General features: G+C 42.9%; 1 protein-coding gene across 13 annotated transcripts in view, besides 1 other annotated feature; it reads left to right on the top strand.

The window, feature by feature from the left end:
- Positions 1 to 18,632, top strand: part of RUNX1 (RUNX family transcription factor 1) — a 261,502-nt gene that overhangs the window by 125,948 nt on the left and 116,922 nt on the right. The window lies entirely within an intron of this gene.
- Positions 14,669 to 14,963: an enhancer, noted in NCBI's record as "tiled region #10978; K562 Activating DNase unmatched - State 5:Enh". NCBI's record gives its function as "activates a minimal TATA promoter and a strong SV40 promoter by Sharpr-MPRA in K562 cells {active_cell/tissue: K562}" and the evidence as "EXISTENCE:reporter gene assay evidence [ECO:0000049][PMID:27701403]".

The raw sequence follows: 18,632 nt of genomic DNA, 5'->3' as shown, positions 1-18,632 counted from the left end.
GAAAGAAATGAAAACCACAAAGCTAACTGACAGTGACAGCCCACCTCTTAAGGAGCCCAATTTAAATATAGATATTTCATCTTTACTGTTGCACAAGATGAAAGGGAATCAGCAGCCCCTGGGTGCTTGATAGTCATTATTTTTCTTTTGGGGCACACTGAGCTATACAGCCACCCGTCCTAACGGCCAAGGATAAGCCATACCATAACAGAGGTAATCAAGACATAACTGTATCATGCTAAGGTGAGAAAGTTGGCTGTTAGGGTCTAATACATAAATAGGACATTGGTAATGACCATCTGTAGTTTTTTGGGCTTACATATTATTCTAATCAAGGCCATGCCAATTGCTATCTATTTTCTCCCTCTATAAAATAGGGTAATCATAGAACCTACCTCTAAGGATTGTTGTGAAGATTTAGAATGATAATGAAGGTGAAGTACTTAGAATAGTGTCTGGCTTAGTATAAGCGCTCAATCAATGGTAGATACTTATTCAGTAAAAATGATTCTGATGTTTTCCATCTGTTTATGTCAGAAATTCCCAAGCAGCAGAAACCCAAATTGAGCAGAAAATATCCAGCCTCTCCAGGTGTCACTGGTGCTATCCTACCAGAAGGACAATGAGGAAGAGATGAGGGAACAGGGGGCTTCCCCAGGCCTCACCACCAGGGGGGACTCCAGCAGGCAATTGTGGTGACCCTACTTGTAAGGACATCTTGCAGTTCTCCAAATTCCCCCATGCTCCTTCATCAGCCCATGTGATGTAGATCACTGTTTCTCTCTTTCTGGAAGACTCTTCACCCCTTCTCTCCCTTACCCTGTTAATACCTGCTTGGAACATCAATGTAACAGAGTAGTTAAGAGCTATAAAGTGATGTGCTTCTTACTAGGTATGTGACCTTGGCCAAACTAATCTCACCAAACCTTAATTCCTTGTCTTTGATATAAAGACAGTAAAGTACCTACCTCATAAAACTATTAAAAGAATTACATAAAATAAGAGAGATCAAGTTCCTAGCCCAGGGATGGTACATTGCATGCATTTCTCTTCAGTTCTGGTCTCTCCACCGCTACCAAACCCCTCCTGACAATCCTGGAAGGGCAAAGCACAACTGCTGTCTTCTCCTCTAGAACCGGCACACACCTTGCTTGTGGCACACAGAGCACCAGCCTCGAGCCCCCCACTTACAGTCCTGTCTCCTCTGTTAGAGACACTTGAAGCAGAATCCTCCAGATCCAGCAGGCTGCTCAGTACATGCTGGGCGGCCATCAAGTGTCTATTAAAGACATAGATGAATCTATCAGGAGGGTTGGAAGTATTCAAGATCAATTAATTAATATTATCCTATCCTGCCACAGATTTTCAAAAGGGATTGATCATAGTTGAGTCTGTCACAATTTTTAAAAATCAATTATGTAGGCCTGGTATGGTGGCTCACGCCTGTAATCCCAGCACTTCAGGAGGCCGAGGCAGGTGGATCACTTGGGGTTAGGAGTTCGAGACCAGCCTGGCCAATATAGTGAAACTCCATCTCCACTAAAAATACAAAAAAATTCGCCAGGTATGGTGGTGCACACCTGTAATTCCAGCCACTAGGGAGGCTGAGGTAGGAGAATGGCTTGAACCCGGAGGCAGAGGGTGCAGTGAGCCCAGATGGTGCCACTGCCCTCCAGCCTGAGCAACAGAGAGAGACACTGTCTCAAAAGAAAAAAAAAATGATTATGTCAATAGAGTGAATAAGAATGTTTATATTTGTGCACTCTTGTTCATAGCAGCATGGGTCGCAATAGCCAAAAGGTGGAAGCAACCCAAGCCCATTGACACACAAATGGACAAACAAAATGTGGTTTGTACATACAGTGGAATATTGTTTAGCCTTAGAAAGGAGGGACTTATGCTACAATATGGATGAAGCTTGAGGACATTATAATGAGTGAAATAAGTCAGACACAAAAAATACTGTACAATTTCACTTAGATGAGTTTCCTAGAGTAGTCACATGATAGAGACAGAAAGAAGAATGATGATTACCAGAGGCTGTGGGGGAGGGGGAAACAGGGAGGTGGTGTTGACTGGTTCAATGTGTAAAGAGTTTTCATTTGGGAAGACAAAAATGTTCTGGAGATGGAAGGTGGTGATGGCTGCACAACAGTGTGAATATATTTAGTGCCACATAACTATGCACTTTAAAATGGTTGGGTTCAGTGGCTCATGCCTGTAATCCCAACACTTTGAGAGGCCCAGGCAGGCAAATCACTTGAGGTCAGTTGTTTAAGACCAGCCTGGCCAACATGGTGAAACCCCGACTCTACTAAAAATACCAAAATTAGCTGGGCATGGTGGCAGGCTCCTATAATCCCAGCTACTCAGGAGGCTGAGGCAAGACAATCGCTTGAACCCGGAAGGCACAAGTTGCAGTGAGCCAAGATCACGCCACTGCACTCTAGCCTGGGTGATAGAGTGAGACTCAGTCTCAAAAACAAATCAAAAAACAAAAATACAATTGTTAAAATGGTAAATTTTATGTTATATATATATGTTACCACAATAAAACTAGAAAAAACATGAAAAAATGTTTATTTAGCTCCTGGTATTTACACAAAAGGACTTTCTTAGTGAGTATGTGGCTTGCCCATGTGGATGTGTATATATAACTTCTCAACATATCACATCACAAGAGAAATAGGGATGGCCTCAGAACGCAAGTTTTTAACTCTAGGTTTTATGTAAGGAACTGAAAAGTTCCTTAACAATCTAAAAGTTTAAGACCTTCTCCAGACAGTCATACCAAAAGATCTTTCCAGGTGTTCCCAGGTATGTAAAATATACAGCTTAAATATGAAACAAAGGTACAAATGCTTACATGGGATTTTTTAAGTGACTATCCAATTTGGTCTGAAACTGGTAAATTTCATGGTGTGTTTCCAGTTGGAAGCTGCCCCCAGTAGGTAGTACCAAAATCCACAAGCATTTTCATTCTTGCTTCACCTCATTGTGCAGAAATGGGACAATCACCGTCTCTAATAATGGCCATAATTTGCCATCAGGAGGAGAAAAGGCTGGGGTTTTGGGAAAGACCTTGGTTGTGGAATAAGAAAATAGTGAAAGAAACAAAAGAGAGTGGGAGTAAAGCCTCAAAGTGTGCCTACGTGCTAAAATGTATCTTTGGGAAAAAAATAATTGGGATTCCCAAAATTGGTAAAATAGTATGGAGCCAAGTTTCTAAATATGAAGAGTACTTTTTTCCTTGATGATGGTTATTTTGCTATGTCCACACACCACACATGCAATTAGAATTCATTTCAGTGTTTCTATCTGCACCTGGAAGGTCAGCTCCTGAAAGGAAGAGGCTTTTGCTGTCTGATTCACTGCCCAAGTCCAAGTACCTAACGCAGAGCCTGGCAAGAACATCTGCTCAATTACCGTGAGGAAGGAAGGAATGCTTAAACCTACTCCAGTATGTTTCAAAAATACAGCACTAATTCAGGATGTGCTTGTTCCTTTCACAATTTGATTCACATTGGAAAAGTTTCATCTGAAATAGTTCGTTCTAATGTCCTACAATCGTTATTTTGGGCAAAAACCTAAATCTAATAATACTCAATTATCAAGCATCAGTTACCAAAATGCATGCCACTTCCTGAATCTAATTTTGTTTCAATTCTATAAGGAGACCACTCAATCGAAGAAGAAAGTATTTTTATCTCCATGCTAATTTGGTAAATCATTTTTTCCCCGGAAGAGTCAGGCTCTGCTGGTGTGAGCCAAATATGTGGTGAGAATAAGCCACTAAGGAGTGAGTGAAGCCCCCAGACTTATTGCAGCAAAAGGCAGGCCAATGGTGCCTGGTCAAACCCACAGAGAGCAGGAGCTTCCATGCAAAATCGATATAGTTATGTAGTAAGTCAGTAGGTCAAGAAGTCAAAAACACGGGATGGGTCCCTTATCTGTTCTCCAGTAACAGGGCTCAAACGTAAAATGTGGTCTTGAATGAGTGTAGTTGTCTTGGTTCTCACTGGTCACCAGATCAGGGATCCCTCACAAAAGTCCCTTCTCTCCATGGTCATCACTTTTCAAAGACTATACTTGCAAATCCACCTTATTAAGTTTGAGTACCAAGGGAAACAGCTTCGACTAGTTAAGACCATGCCTCAGGAACCAAATTGTCTAGGTTCAATCCCAGCTCCTCCAGCTGTGTGATCTTAGGCAAGTTAATCAACAACTGTGTGCCTCAGTTTCTTCATCTGTAAAATTAGTGTAATAGGAACAATACCTACCTCATAGCATTGATGCGAAAGTGAAAGCCCTTTTTGTGTTCATTTATAATGAATTGATATATTACAACAGTGTCTGGCATATACTAAACATTATGATATATCTCAAAATACACTCTACTGTCATTTCACACATACATTTCATGTATCCTTTTATTGTATTTTATTTTTTTGAGACAGAATCTCACTCTGTCACCAGGCTAGAGTGCAGTGGCATGATCTCAGCTCACTGCAACCTCCATCTGCTGGGTTCAAGCGATTCTCCTGCCTCAGCCTCCCCAGTAGCTGGGACTACAGGCACACCACTATGCCCAGCTAATTTTTGTATTTTTAATAGAGACAGGGTTTCCCCATGTTGGCCAGGATGGTCTCGATCTCTTGACCTTGTGATCCACCTGCCTTGGCCTCCCAAAGTGCTAGGATGACAGGCGTGAGCCACCACGCCCGGCCTCATGTATCTTATTTCATGTACTTTTTTAAATTTGTGAAAGATTTACAGTATAGGCCTCAGGATTTCAAAGCCATGATATTCCTTCCTAACAAAGAATAAAATCAAGGGCATCCATGGCAGCACAATATATAAGATAAGCAAATTTTAAAACTAAAATAATCTGTTAAACATAGATCCTTCCTTCCACATAACCCTTGCAAGGGGGGATGACTATTTCACTGGGTACCAGTGTTAATCTGGCAATGCTGATAATGATCAGCTACATTTTTTTCAACTCAGACCAGGGGACAATTGTCACAAACCTATGTTGAGAAGTCTCCCCAAGAGGTTTTCAAGGTGAGAATATTGTCATGCCCCTGCATCTCTCATCTCATGAGCACCCCCAAGGGATTGGGGTGCTTGGATTATTGCATAGCGATTTATCAGATCAACTTGACCTTAACACACAGCATCATCACTTGGGTAAAAGCCAAGGACTTTTTTTTTTTTTTTTTTTTTTGAGACAGAGTCTCACCCTGTCACCCAGGCTGGAGTGCAGTGGCTCAATCTCAGCTCACTGCAATCTCCGCCTCCCGGATTCAATCAATTATCTGCCTTAGCCCCCTGAGTAGCTGGTACTACAGGCACCCACCACCAAGCCTACCTAATTTTTGTATTTTTAGTAGAGACAGGGTTTCACCATGTTGGCCAGGCTGGTATTGAACTCCTGACCTCATGATCCATCCACCTGGACCTCCCAAAGTGCTGGGATTATAGGCATGAGCCACTACGCCCGGCCAAGCCAAGGACTTTATAACAACCTCTCATTCTTCTGTTTATGCGTTTAGGGTCCTGACGAGCCATCTTACAAATTGATTCTGACTTCCAGTGATGATGATTGACTTGCCTTTCATACTGACCAAGCCCCACATTCATTTCAATGCTTGTATGAGGGCTCAACGTTCCAGGCTTTCTCGCTTGCTTTCTTTATGTGTCTGACCACCTTTCCATCTGTCTATCTTCTTTGAGATATTTCTGCCAAGAATGAGAGAGATATCAAGGGATGTTGTCATTTTATTAAATTTGTTACCCAGCAGAAATGCCTCTGATTGATGTAGTATTAAAACTCTGGTCAGCATTTCTCTTACTGTCTAATAACCAGTCACGCCTTTAGGTGTAGGATGTAGAATGCTAATGCAGAATTCCAATTCTTTTTGTTCAACTGAAAACTGCCTGATGATTTGCAATCATCCCAGTCACCCAGGCTAAACACCTGGACATCTGCATCTGTGCCCTAGCCTCACCCCAATGTCTAGGCTCCAAAGTTCTGAGTGTCCTCTTTCACCCTGTCTCCATCTGCTTTCTCTTTCCTTGGCTTCCACAGCCCCTTCACAAAGACATGTGCCCTATCTCCCAGTTGGCCGATGGGCTTTCAATCTCTGCCTACTCATTCTTTTCACTGATTCCTCAGGCTCTACCTGAAGCATGGTCACTTAGGTTTCTCTGCTGCTCAGAGTCCTTCTGTGATGCCCACCTGCCCATGGGAAAGAAGTCTCCAAACCCTAGCCATAGACTTAGTTATAGGACTTCTACTGTGTCGGAACAGCATGGGGTCACAGCATGGCCTTTGCTATTTTCAGTCCTGAATCTAGGTCCTGGCTCTGCCACTTGCTGGCTGGGTGTTCTTGGGTATTACTGACCCTCCATAAATCTGCTATTTTATGTATAAAATTAGAGCAATCATGATGCCTTTCCCAAAAGGATTTTGTGAGCATTAAGTTAGATAACACATAGAAAGACCTGGCAGCTCAGAAAATGCCGCCGCGACCCAGGGCTGGCCTCCCTTCCTGGCCTTCTGTTCTGCCTGGGCCCTCTCTTCCCATGCTGATATGTCCCGCAGCTGCATCCAACATGTGCCATTCCGTGACATCCCCTGTACTTTCCCTCTTCCTTGACTTTGCTTATGTCATGTGAGCTAGCTCAAATTCCTTTCCCATTTTTGCCTGTCTAAACCCTGCACTCTTTCCAGACTCAATCTAGTCATCATCTCCTCCTCCGAGCCTCCCTCCTCAGCCCTTTCAGATGGAACTCATTTCTCCCCCTTCCTGTGCTCCCATAACACTTGCCTTATACCTCTGTGATCTCATTCATTGCATTCTACATCGAACTCTCAGTATTTGGTAATCACACTGCCACTTCCACTAGACTGTGCATTTATTAACAGTGAGGGACCATGCCTTCATCAAATGTTACCCCTCAAATTCTCCAGGACAGGACTTTGCCCACGGGAAGGGCCCATATTATGTTCGTTGAACATGGGGTTCATGTTTGTTGCTTTCTTCCAGAACTCTTTAGAGTATATTAATGATCAGGTAACAGAAATTATCCCTTTCTCCCACCCGTGAAACACAAACTTATAGCAGCTGTAATGCAGCCCTGCATTTAACAGGGGATCGTGTGTCTGACATGCAATACCAATGAGCCACTGGCGTTGCCTTTCACTTGTTGTGTCAGAAAATCAATCAGTGACTTCAGCAAAATCTTGAGGCTTTCTGCCATCACTAGAATCATGGTAAATAATTCATGACTCTTCCCCCTCTCCCCTTCCCCACACACACAAAAAACTCTTCTATTCTTAACCCAAATAACTTTCAGAATATGGATTACTGAATCTGCTTGGATCTCATTACTGTACTTTCAAAGAGTTAAGAAGACAACCTATATCTCTGGGTAAAAGCTTTTCACTTCCAAAAACGAGGAATGTGAAGAGGCTGTTGATATTCAGCACTTCAGACCCCAGAGAATACTTTTTTCATATTTGTATAATGTTAACTTTTGTTCTCTATCTCAGCAAAATAACACTGACCTAGGAAAAATGGAATTTGCAAGCCTTAAAGTTTGAAGATAATTATAAAATGAGTCACCCAAACATCATTGATCTCTTGCACTTATTCCTCTGGTCTGACAACACCTTCCACTTTGCCAAGAAACAACAAATATGTTAAAATACATGATCAAAGTAGTCATGTGATTGTTAATAATATTTTACATTTGCATAGAATGCTTCTTCACATGCTTTTAAAATGCTTTTCCCCTTTGAGGCTCATAAAACAACCATTCTCTGCAATTAAAGCAGATTCCATGAACATGAGTCTTTTTGCCTATTTGTGTTTAGGCTGGACAAGGAAGAATGAATGGTCATGTAAACAGTTACCAGAGGAATGTCAAGTATTGTCCTCAGCTCAGCAGGACCAGATCAGTGATGAGCTTGACTTTACCTGTGAAGTGCTTCCTATACACACCTCTTCTTCCTCATAAAGGGTGCACTCCCTTGTCTCCACATAGTCATTAATTCTTCCCTTCAATTTTCCTCCTGTAAGTTTTGGTCAGAATTTAAGATGTTTCCAAAATATTGAAAAATCAAATAGCATAATATGTTAAGGTTTTTAAACACTTTTTCTACATCTTTCTTCTGGTACTTTGCAATTAAAAAAAAAGTTCAAGTCCTATTAACTGGGCAACTGCTAGGGTAAACAAAGTCTAAAAGCGGTCTCGTTGAATATCTCATTTAGTCCTCATAACGGTGCTGTAAAGGAGGAATCGTTATCCTCATTCTATAATTCAGGAAACTGAGCACGAATGACCAGGCCAAGGTAAGGAACACAGCTGAGAAGCAAGGCCTCAGCTCACTGTGCATCAGGTTTAAGTGGGCTCGTTCTGCCATCATCACATGTCCTGGCTTTACACTCAGATTGAAGGACATGCAATGAATGGCAGCCCTCTTGAGTTCCAAATCAATTAGGACACAGGCAAAAAGAAGTGGGACACATGCAGATCCAAATGCCAGCTCAAGGCCAAGTTGCAGAATGGGGCTGTGAAGTGCAGCCACACAGGCTTCCCAATGCTGAATTCTCTCACCTGTCTCAGGCGCAGTTGAACCAGTGTAAAACATGCCACATGAAGACACTGACCAGAATGTGTGCTTCCTGCAGGCACTAGCTCCAAGTGGAGGGAGGGAGGAGGGAACTGAGTTCCCTGAGTTGCCACTTCCTTCTCCCATACGCCCAACTGACCATATGAAGGGGAGAAAGGCCAGAGTGATAGCTCCCAGAAGTGGGGAAGAAATGCTGCCCCCCGTGAAATGACCCTGTCAAGAGATTCATATTGTGGGTACAGTAGGTGTTGAAATATACATGGTGACTTCCTGGCAGTTACAATATCATCCTCATCACAGAATTGCCACACAAATCCCTACAGAAGCCAAAATGTCAGGAGGTCCTTGTTCCTAATGCTCCACTGACTCAGTGCATGACCCAGGGCAAGCCACTTAACTAATCTTGGTCTTAACGTCCCCATTAATAGTGTCTGCATTGTTGATGGGAATCCTCCCTGTGTATAATTCTTCTATCATGGAATGTCAATGAATGGATCTTGCAAACTCAGCTACAGACAAACTCAGCTCCTGCCAGGAGACAGCCGCTCTCAGAACAAAGCTCATATTTGCCTCCTTCCAAGAGTCCTTAGCAAACCACGTTTTGATGGAATGGCTCCTGCTTCACACTGACTGAGAGAGAATTCCCTCGGCATAGCCTGAGTGACTTTAATCCAGAGTGTTGGCCATATTGAGTAACAGTAGGTTATTTTATGCCTCCTGAATGTTCGAAGTCTGAGCAGCTACACACACTGGAACCCATATTTTACCCCATTGACAGCCTGGAAAGGACATATGGTTTAGATTTTTAGACAACACGCCATGTAAAAAGCCTTTCCTTTTATAGAGGCATATTTTTAGAGTCTCCTAAGCTAAACTCTGGGTGGAATTTAATCCATACAGCCCTCGGTTCAATCAAGAGCCAAAACACAACTTCGTGTCAGTGTAATACATTGTTAACTGATACGTCAGAAAATCAATTAATTACTTTTAAGAAGCAATTAAAAGTAGCCCTACGATGCTGCCATGTGAATTATTAAAGAATACAATGTAAAGGGTCCCCATGCCCACCCCAGATTGAAACCTTGTGGCATAGGGTGGTGCAAAGTATGCATTCTGCCCTGTCTCAACTGAAATTAGTGTGAGTTTGAAGGGGCAAAAAAGTAAAGAGAAGGTGACGAGGCTTAAGACGTGTGGTGTCCAGCTGACGCAGAAGGCTGCAGATGCCACCAACCACTGTTCCCAAAGCTGACACTCCTGGCCTGGGGTTTCCATTCTGTCTCTACACCATCTCTGCAGGAGATCCACTTCCATCTGCACCTCTCCATTCTTTTGTGGGTGAACAGCCCCGCATCAGAACCCAACAGGTTTCTTCCTTTCCTGAGCCCAGTTCATCCCAGAGAAAAGTCTACGCAAAGCCACTGCTCCCTCCTTCTCCTGCCATTATTTCTCTTCTCCTTCTCCTTCTCCTTCTTCTTCTTTTTGAGATGGAGTATCCCTCTGCTGCCCAGGCTAAAGTGGAGTAGCACGATCTTGGCTTACTGCAACCTCCATCTCCCGGGTTCAAGCAATTCTTCCTGCTTCACCCTCCCAAGTAGCTGGGATTACAGGTGCCCACCACCACCCCCAGCTAATTTTTTGTATTTTTAGTAGAGTCAGGGTTTCACTATGTTGACCAGGCTGGTTTTAAACTCCTGACCTCAAGTGATCCACCTGCCTCAGCCTCCCAAAGTGCTGGGATTACAGGCGTGAGCCATCACGCCTGGCCTCTCCTGCCATTTCTATGCCTGCTTCTAGATTAAACTAGACCAGGTGAAGGCCCCCCAGCCCCACCCCAAGTGAAAGGCCAGGGGCTTCTCCCCACACCCTAGTTTGCATCGGTTTGGAATGTTGAGCTCAGATCCAATCACTACTCATCTGTTCATATCCTATCTGTCATCACACATGTCCTGTATATCTGGAAACAATTACGTGACTGATCCGGAGTTTCAGGTATGCATCAGATGTGTGCTTTCCAAATGCCTGCATCTCAAAGACTAGGAAGGCAATGGGAACAGTCTTCTGAGGGTGTAAAAAGAGGGACCCAGGCTGGGGCAATGGGACTGAGGGGACTATATAGATGAGTCTTCCTTGCTGTGTTTCTGTAGTTTTGACTTGGCCAGAAATGTTTTCCATCGGAATGAGAAAAACCATATATTTGCATAACCAAAACATCGGTGCAATATGTTAAGCAGAGGCCTCCTCGACCTACTGGCCAGTTGTGGTTGCCACTATGCCAGAAACTCAGAAGTGGTTGCTTAGGTTGTTGACCGCAGCAACCTCTAAAGCCCTCAGGGCACCCAAGAGTATCGCAAAACAGAGAGGACGGGTGATGGAGATTTCCCAGGCTTCTAGCCTTACTGCCACCCAGTGATAGAAGAGTAAGTAGCAAAGGAAAATATTTTTTCACCACTCAATGCCTGGCAGTCATCATCTCCTTGCTCTGAGATCTAGGATGCCTCAGGGTACGTAGGCTGGAGGAGGTGGCAGCTACAGTTCATTGTCATCGATTGATTCATTCATTCTTAAGAAGTGTCTGTTGACTATCTACTCAGTTCCAAGCACTTTTCTTGATGCTGGGCAGTGAACAGGACAAAACTTATCCTTCACTCCATCCACTCCCTCTGTCACTTGGAGGATGGACAACAAATACATAAACACAGAAATCAAATAAGACAAATGCAATGGTGAAAAGAAACCCGTGCATGTGACATGATAGTTGTGATGGTTCAGGGGTAGGGAGCGGGGTTACTTTACCCATTACTTTAGTAGATGACGGTTGAGCAGCCATGGGGAAAACTGGGGGAGTTTAGAGACAGGAAAGTGGTCCAGGCAGAAGGAAAGCCCCTGAAAAGGTCCTGAGGCAGAAAAAGCTTGGCGCGTCTGTGAGACAGACAGAGGCTATGGCAGAGCAAGCCGAGGGAGACAGGTGCTCCCAGGTCTAGGTGATGGGCTGGGCTGGTTTCCTCCAGGGCCTGGAATTCTGAGTGCCCTGGAAAGCCGTCAAGGAGTTTGGGTGGAGGAGAGACACAATCTAATGTGTATCACTCTCTGGCTGCTTTACTGGAGTGGGGCAAGGGCAGAGCTGGAAGGATGGCCAGGGGTTCACTGCAGTGTGGGGAGGAGACATTCGCTGCCCAGGAGGGTTGGCTGCAGAGGCTGTTCCTCTTTTCTCCCAGCCACAAACTCCAACCCTGAGCAGACTGCAGAGGGTTCCTCTATCTGAGTATGGGTTCAAATGCAGCTGTCAGGCACCTTGGTGGATCTCCCATTCCTCTGTCCTCATGTATGTAAGATCTCCCTCCCAGGGTTGCTATCTATGAGATGTCTGGTAATAGACGCAGGTGGCAGCTGTTGTTAATATCACCTTTGTTCCTTACCTGATCCCAATAAATGTATTGTCGACATTGATTTTCATCAACCTTTATTCAGCAAATATTTGTTAAGCACCTACTCTTCTTCTCCTGGGTCCTGTACCACCACTAGAAGCAGCTGTATGATGCATATCAGGAAGAGACCCCTTCCCACCTAATGGGATAGCTCGTCCTGCCCCCAGTGAACTCCAAAAAATGCTTTCTGTGCCCTCTTTGCAGGCCTTTTACTGAAATATTATGCGATATTTAAATAAAACATCAGTATGAGCTAATTGGAAGGCTGAGGCAGGAGGATCACCTTGAAGCCAGAAGTTCACAGCCAGCTGGGGCAAATAAGGAGACCTCATGTCTAAAAATGTTTAAAAATTAGTGGGGTGTGGTGGCGTGTGTCTGTAGTCCTAGCTACTTGGGAGGTTGAGGTGGGAGGAGCCCTTGAACCCAGGAGCTGGAGCCTGCGGTGAGCCACTGCACTCCAGCCTGGGCAACAGAGTGAGACCTTGTTTCAAAAAAAAAAAGAACAACAATAACATAACGACAAAAAATACAAAACACCAGCATTTGCATTCAGAGTCCTGACTGGAAGCATGTGATTCAGGAGCAAGCCCGCCCTGGACATGGTCCTGGCCTGGATGAGGACTGAGGCTGGCATCCACTCACAGGGCAGCACCTGGACCCTGTCCAGCATCTGAAGAGGGCTTCATCTGGCACAGAACAATTGCAGGGTTTCACTGGGGAAGAGCGAGGCTTTCTGTCTCACCCTCATGTCCAGGGCTGGTGACAGAGAGGACAAAGGGCAACCGACAGTGGCTTTTGCCTCTGCATTTAGCTTTCATTATACAGTTCTTGACTTCAGAAAGACAGTTCATTTGTTTCTTAGTTCCCAGAAGCCAAAATGAATTCTGTACCAGAAAAAAAAAAAACAGTTCTGAAAATTATCTTCATTGCTGGAGTTTCTATCAGGAAATTACCAAAAGGAGAAAAATAGGACCTGGGAGAGTCCTGAGTGCTCCAGCCAGTGAGGAGAAGGTGGAGAAAGCAAGAGAAGTTGGAGCCCTTTGCTGGCTTGCCAGAGACTGGGAGCCACATGGATGTGGTTTCCCTGCAACAGAAGGCTAAGGGTGAGCTGCAAAGTCTGAGAACCCACTGGGAAGACAGCACTGAACTAGGAATATGGCGAGTGTTCCAGCTGGTTTGTAGAAGCTGACTTCAGAGCCAATTTATGCAAATCTTGATTTGTTTAAAACTACATTAATCACTGGCTTCTTTCAGTGGCCAAGCTGGCCTGTAGAAGTTCCTCACACTGCAAAACACTGGGGGCAGCCCAGGCACAGCTTGGTAGATAATAGTTGAAGAAGAAGGAGGAGGAGGAAGAGGCGGAAGGAAGCAAGGAGGGAGGAGGTAAAGAAGAAGAAAGGAAAGAGGAACTGGAGGAGCAGGAGGAGGAGGAGGAGACAATGGAGATCATGGTGTGAGCAGAGGAAATTTGATGAAAGGACCCAGAACCCTAAAGATTAAGTTTTAGTCTTGCTAAAATGTATCAGCTTGGCTATACTTTGCAACAATGAAACAAGCTCATCTCTCATGGAGGATGGCCCTCTGTAGCCAGAGACCCGGGGGACTTGCCTAAGGCAGTCTTCCAGACTCAGCTGAAGAGGTCACTCTGGAGAAGTGCAGGTTATCAAATAGAACACCATCTTTTTTTTTTTTTTTTTTTTGAGGAACAGTGACCTGGTCTGTATAAGAAAGTGATACTCTGTGTTTGTAGCCACATGTGAGCTGCACTGAGAAATTGCCTCTGTGCCCAGAGAAGGAAGGAGTACCACCTTCTTCATCTATCCCATCCTATATTTTCACTGTTGCAGAGGAGGGTTTGATGTGAGACATGCAAAAAATGACAAGGGAGGAACAAAGTAATAAACCTATCTGATGTGCTCCAAGTGGATTCTCTCTGTTTTCCACATTTAAAAGATATAAGTGATATGAGCAAGCATTTTAATTCCTCAAGCAAGGTTTGATACTCAGTTCCAGAGATCACCATATCAAAGGCAAGCGAAGCAAGAATCTTAGGGTCGGGTGTACTGTCAGGAGCATGGGGACTGCACACGGGAGTGAACACAGAGTGGTCCTGGTGTACTGTCAGGAGCATGGGGAGCCACACGGATCAGACCCCGAAATTAGCCCTACCTGCAATGCGGCCTTTAGTACAATCCTAGACAAGTTGAACTTTAAGATTCAGGTTTAATTTGTGCAAAACTAAAAGGCATAAATTATTGGTATAGGATAATCTATTGCATTATCTTCTAAAGGTAATGAGATTGTACATCTTACCCCTAGCACACACATACACACACACAGACACACACACACAGACACACCAGCCCCAAGAAAATATAGAAGAAAGGTCAATGGCTCTGTTCCTCTTTCTTTAGAATTATAAGATAAGCCTGTTACATATCCTGAATCATTGGTCCCATTCTATGTATATGCAAAAGAAGTTCAAAGGCTGACTTTGACAAAGGGTGTTTGGAGAAGGATGATAAAATGTGTCTGATAAAACAAACACAAAAGACTTTTGCAATAAAGACCTACAAATTGGGAAAGCAGGACTTGGGCAGCAGGGTGTGAAACTGTGTTATCTACAGCTTCAGCACAAAAAGATAGTGGCTTGCAGCAGAAGTCTTTATCTGGCCTTCACAAGAATGGAGATTGCACCTCCCCCGACCCCCCTGTCCACAAAACCCAGGAAACACCTTGCAGAGTTGATGCAATATTTGCTATCCCAGCCCTTGGTGACAGTTAAAATAGTGTTACAACATAAAATTGAGCAACGACCTTGCTGTATCATCCAAGACTATGTTTTATACTACTTTTTTTCCCCGAGGACATTTTGCACATTTTTTAGTTCCTCCCTTACTTTCAGTTCAGATCATTAATGGGAAGAAACATTGTCTCTTCTTCCTTTCCAATACAATTTAAAAATACCTTCCTGATTGACACTTCAGGAAGAAGATTAATAATAGTTACCCTTTTGCATCTCATTGCATTATTTCTTGAGAATTTCAAAGAATTCTCTGTATCTCTTCTTGGAGATGTATCATTACTCTGTTCGAATGACTTTTTTGGGGCTGGAGTTTAATTTATGTGATTGCAATCAGGAAACCACTTTGAAAGGGAAGAAATCCATTTAGCTTTGCATGAGTTGTAAATTTTCTGTAAATACAATTTCATAAGACCCTCCCTTTTTTAAAGAAGTAGCAAAACGGCTCTTGGAGGAGTGGCAGAGCATGGGGGTGGACCACAAATTCACAGGTCAGGGGGTCCCAGATCAGCCACTGTTTCGGGAGCTTAGAAGAGCCACTCACTTTTCAGAGCCTCCTTTTCCCTCTATAAACTAAATGGATTGGACAAAATGTTTGCTAAGAATCTTTTCACCTCTAAACAAAATGACCCAATGTTTGCTAAGAATCTTTTCGCCTCTGAACGAAATGACCCAATGCTATTCCACAGAAGGATGGCCTTCAAAACAGCTTCACTCTGTTTTATTTCATAATAATCCTTCACCTCTCATGACTGTTTAGCTTGACAAGGCACTTCGGCAGTTATGATTTAATTGGTTTTCTTGATAACTTTTACATGGCATGATTTTAGACTTGGCAAAGGTGGAAGCGGAGGCACAGAAAGGAGAACTTCAGAGAGTCACAGGGAGCCAAACACCAAGTCAAGTAACAAATTGAGTACTAAGAAAATAAGACATTTTAGGCTAGAGGCTTGCAAACTTTTTGAATAGCAAGAAACAGTAAGAAGTAAATAGTATGCCAGGGCTCAGGGGAGATACATCAATCAAAAAAAGAGCTTCAGGAAGCAGTATTCACCCTTACTACTGATGAAGCACTCTATTTTCCAGTTATTCTGTTCTATTTCTTCTTCTTACCTTGCTTTTGTTATTATTATTATTAACAACCAATCTATGGGTCACAACCTATTGTTTAGAAGTCACTGTTTAGAAACTTTTCACATGGCAGCATACTTCTTTTTGCTAAATTAGAAGTCTATATCTCCTTCTCTGTGCCCCTTACCTGTGGGCAGATGCTAAGTGGGATTCTCCTGTTTAGGTTTTCTTGCTGTCAAGAGCCCCCAAAGACTGTACACCAGGAAAGTGCTGTCCTTAGAGTCAAGGTTTTCACTGAAGGGGGCACATGACCCTCCTGGCTGACTTTGAATACACGATCAAGTCCTCATGAATAATGAATACTAATGACAATATCAAAACACCTATTTGCATTGTACACTCACTAAAGTCAGAGGGAGAATTGGGGCTGCTCCCACAAAAGGGCACGTGACTCTCTAAATAAAGAGCTTTAATGCATTTTATATTTAAACCATAAGGCCATGGGCTCAAACCCAAACTGAGATGGGCTCTGCTTCTTAAGTACTATTCTGGAAAGGCATTGAAATATTTATCCATCTATCTGGGTTCTGTGTTTCTAAAGCAGTTCCTTTCCTTGTACTGCAATCCAGAGTGGGCCTGTTTGCAAATCCCCTTTAACTGGAGAGTGGCTGCCCTTCAGAAGCAAAAGGAGTCCTTTGGGAAAGTCATTGTCTATGAAACTTATTCAATGAGAACTATGAAGAACAGCCTTTTTTTATTTAAATGCATGTAATTCAAAGATTGTCTACTCTGTGCACTGACTGGGTCAAATTCTTACTTTCACTGCTCCATCTCTATGTGGCCTTGGGCAAGTTGTCTAACTTCTTTAAGCCTTAGGGGATAATTGTTCCTAAATTAATAGTATTACCAAAAGGATTAAATGACATAATGCACAGAAAGCCCTTGCCACAATGTCTGAAGCTCAGAATAGCTCAGTAAATGTTAAGGACCTCTACTATTTGTCCACTAAAATTTGCTCAGTTGTTATAACCCTATTAGCACAAATAAGGCTTTTGCTTTTGAGGAATGAATTCCACAGCTTTCTCTGTCCTCACGGACTAGCAACACTTAATGGATTCCTAGTGACGAACCAACCCAGTTTCTTAAACCCCCAAACCTGTCAAAACCCAGCATAACCCAAATCTAATGCATTCGTAGGCTGCTGTTCTGCTACCCAGTCTCTTCCTGGTATGATAAACTGTTTTCTTGACCAACAAAGCCAATAGTATGTACACTTATATATTAGTTTAAAAAATAGAAAAGTACCACATTTACTTTCGAAAATCCAAAACTTTGTCTCAAAGGGGAATTCAGGTTATTTTCAGAAATACTGAAGCTCCTTCCCTTTTGTTCATAGCAAAATAAACAGACCACCAGGAGAGAGGATTCTTGTTTTATAGGTTGCTATAGAGGAGTTATGTGAGGTATACATACTCAGGGCTTCAACATTTAAAATTTTTAAAGATCAGTAAAGAGAGGATGCTTTTTTTCTAGAGAAGTTTTTATTTTTAGGTTCTGTAGGGGGAAAAGCTACGTGATAAGTTTCAGATGATCCAGCATTTTCTAGATATTTATCCCACACTTAATTTTTTTAGATCCAGATATTTCAAGCTTAGTAAAAACCAAGGAAGTATTAACTTTTGTTGTATCCATTCTCTGTAACTGAAGAACCAATGTGCTTTTATGCTTCCATATAACTTCCTACTTTGTATCCAAATTTCCTAATTTTACTCATAAGCATTCTAGAACACTTTAAAGATGACAAGTTAACAGAATAACATTCTGGCTAAAGAAGTTTTTCTCTTGCTCTTTACCTTAAGGCAGTGTCATATCTTCACTAAAGGAATGTCTTTTGGGGAGAGTGGGATTAATTAAATCTGTGTTTACCATGATCAGAAAAGAGCATCATACACAACGGTGAAAATAAAGCTTACACATAATAACGTTATTTCCTTCTCATTCCCAGTAACGGAGGGGTTAACCTGAAGTCTTAATCCATTTCCACTCTAATTGGGAAAGGTGGGGGATGGGGAAATCATTTAGGTAGCAAAATGAAAATTGCTAGCCTGGATATGCCTGAGGCAAAAAGAAAAGAATGAATTCTCTTGTGAGCGAGATTAGTGAGGGGGAAGAAATATCTACATCTTGCACTTCATTTCATGTTGTCGTTCAATTTGCCGGTGTTAAATAATGACCTCCAGAGCAGTGGGTGAATTGGGAGAAGGGGGCGTGCGGGTCTCCTAGAGTGAGTTCACTGTGCACGGTGTCTGGGCACTATGTGTCTATCATTCAGCTCAATCAGGACCTGACTCAATTTGACAGCGCAGCTCCCAGGTGTAGAGGTTTGCAGACTAAAAGTGGAGCCCCCACTGGCATATTTGGTAAAGTTTTCTTCTTTCCTCCTTAGAAGTCTACTTCATTATTTGGTGTTTTTGGTTAAAGAGAAGGCTAAACAAAATGATTTCTATTTTAGAAACTTTACTATTTCTGCATTAAGGAAAAAGACTTGATCTAGAATATTCTTCTCTAAAACGTGAGGTTCTTCCTAAACCGAGAAGTTGACAATTACAGAACCTCCTAAAACAGAATACTTCTGAAACAATCTTAAAGTCCACATTTATGTAAATATTTGCTGCAGGCCCCCCTTGAGAAC

This window comes from Homo sapiens, chromosome 21 (genome assembly GCF_000001405.40).
Source record: "Homo sapiens chromosome 21, GRCh38.p14 Primary Assembly".
Lineage (NCBI taxonomy): Eukaryota > Metazoa > Chordata > Mammalia > Primates > Hominidae > Homo > Homo sapiens.
This window is presented reverse-complemented; position numbering and strand designations above follow the sequence as displayed.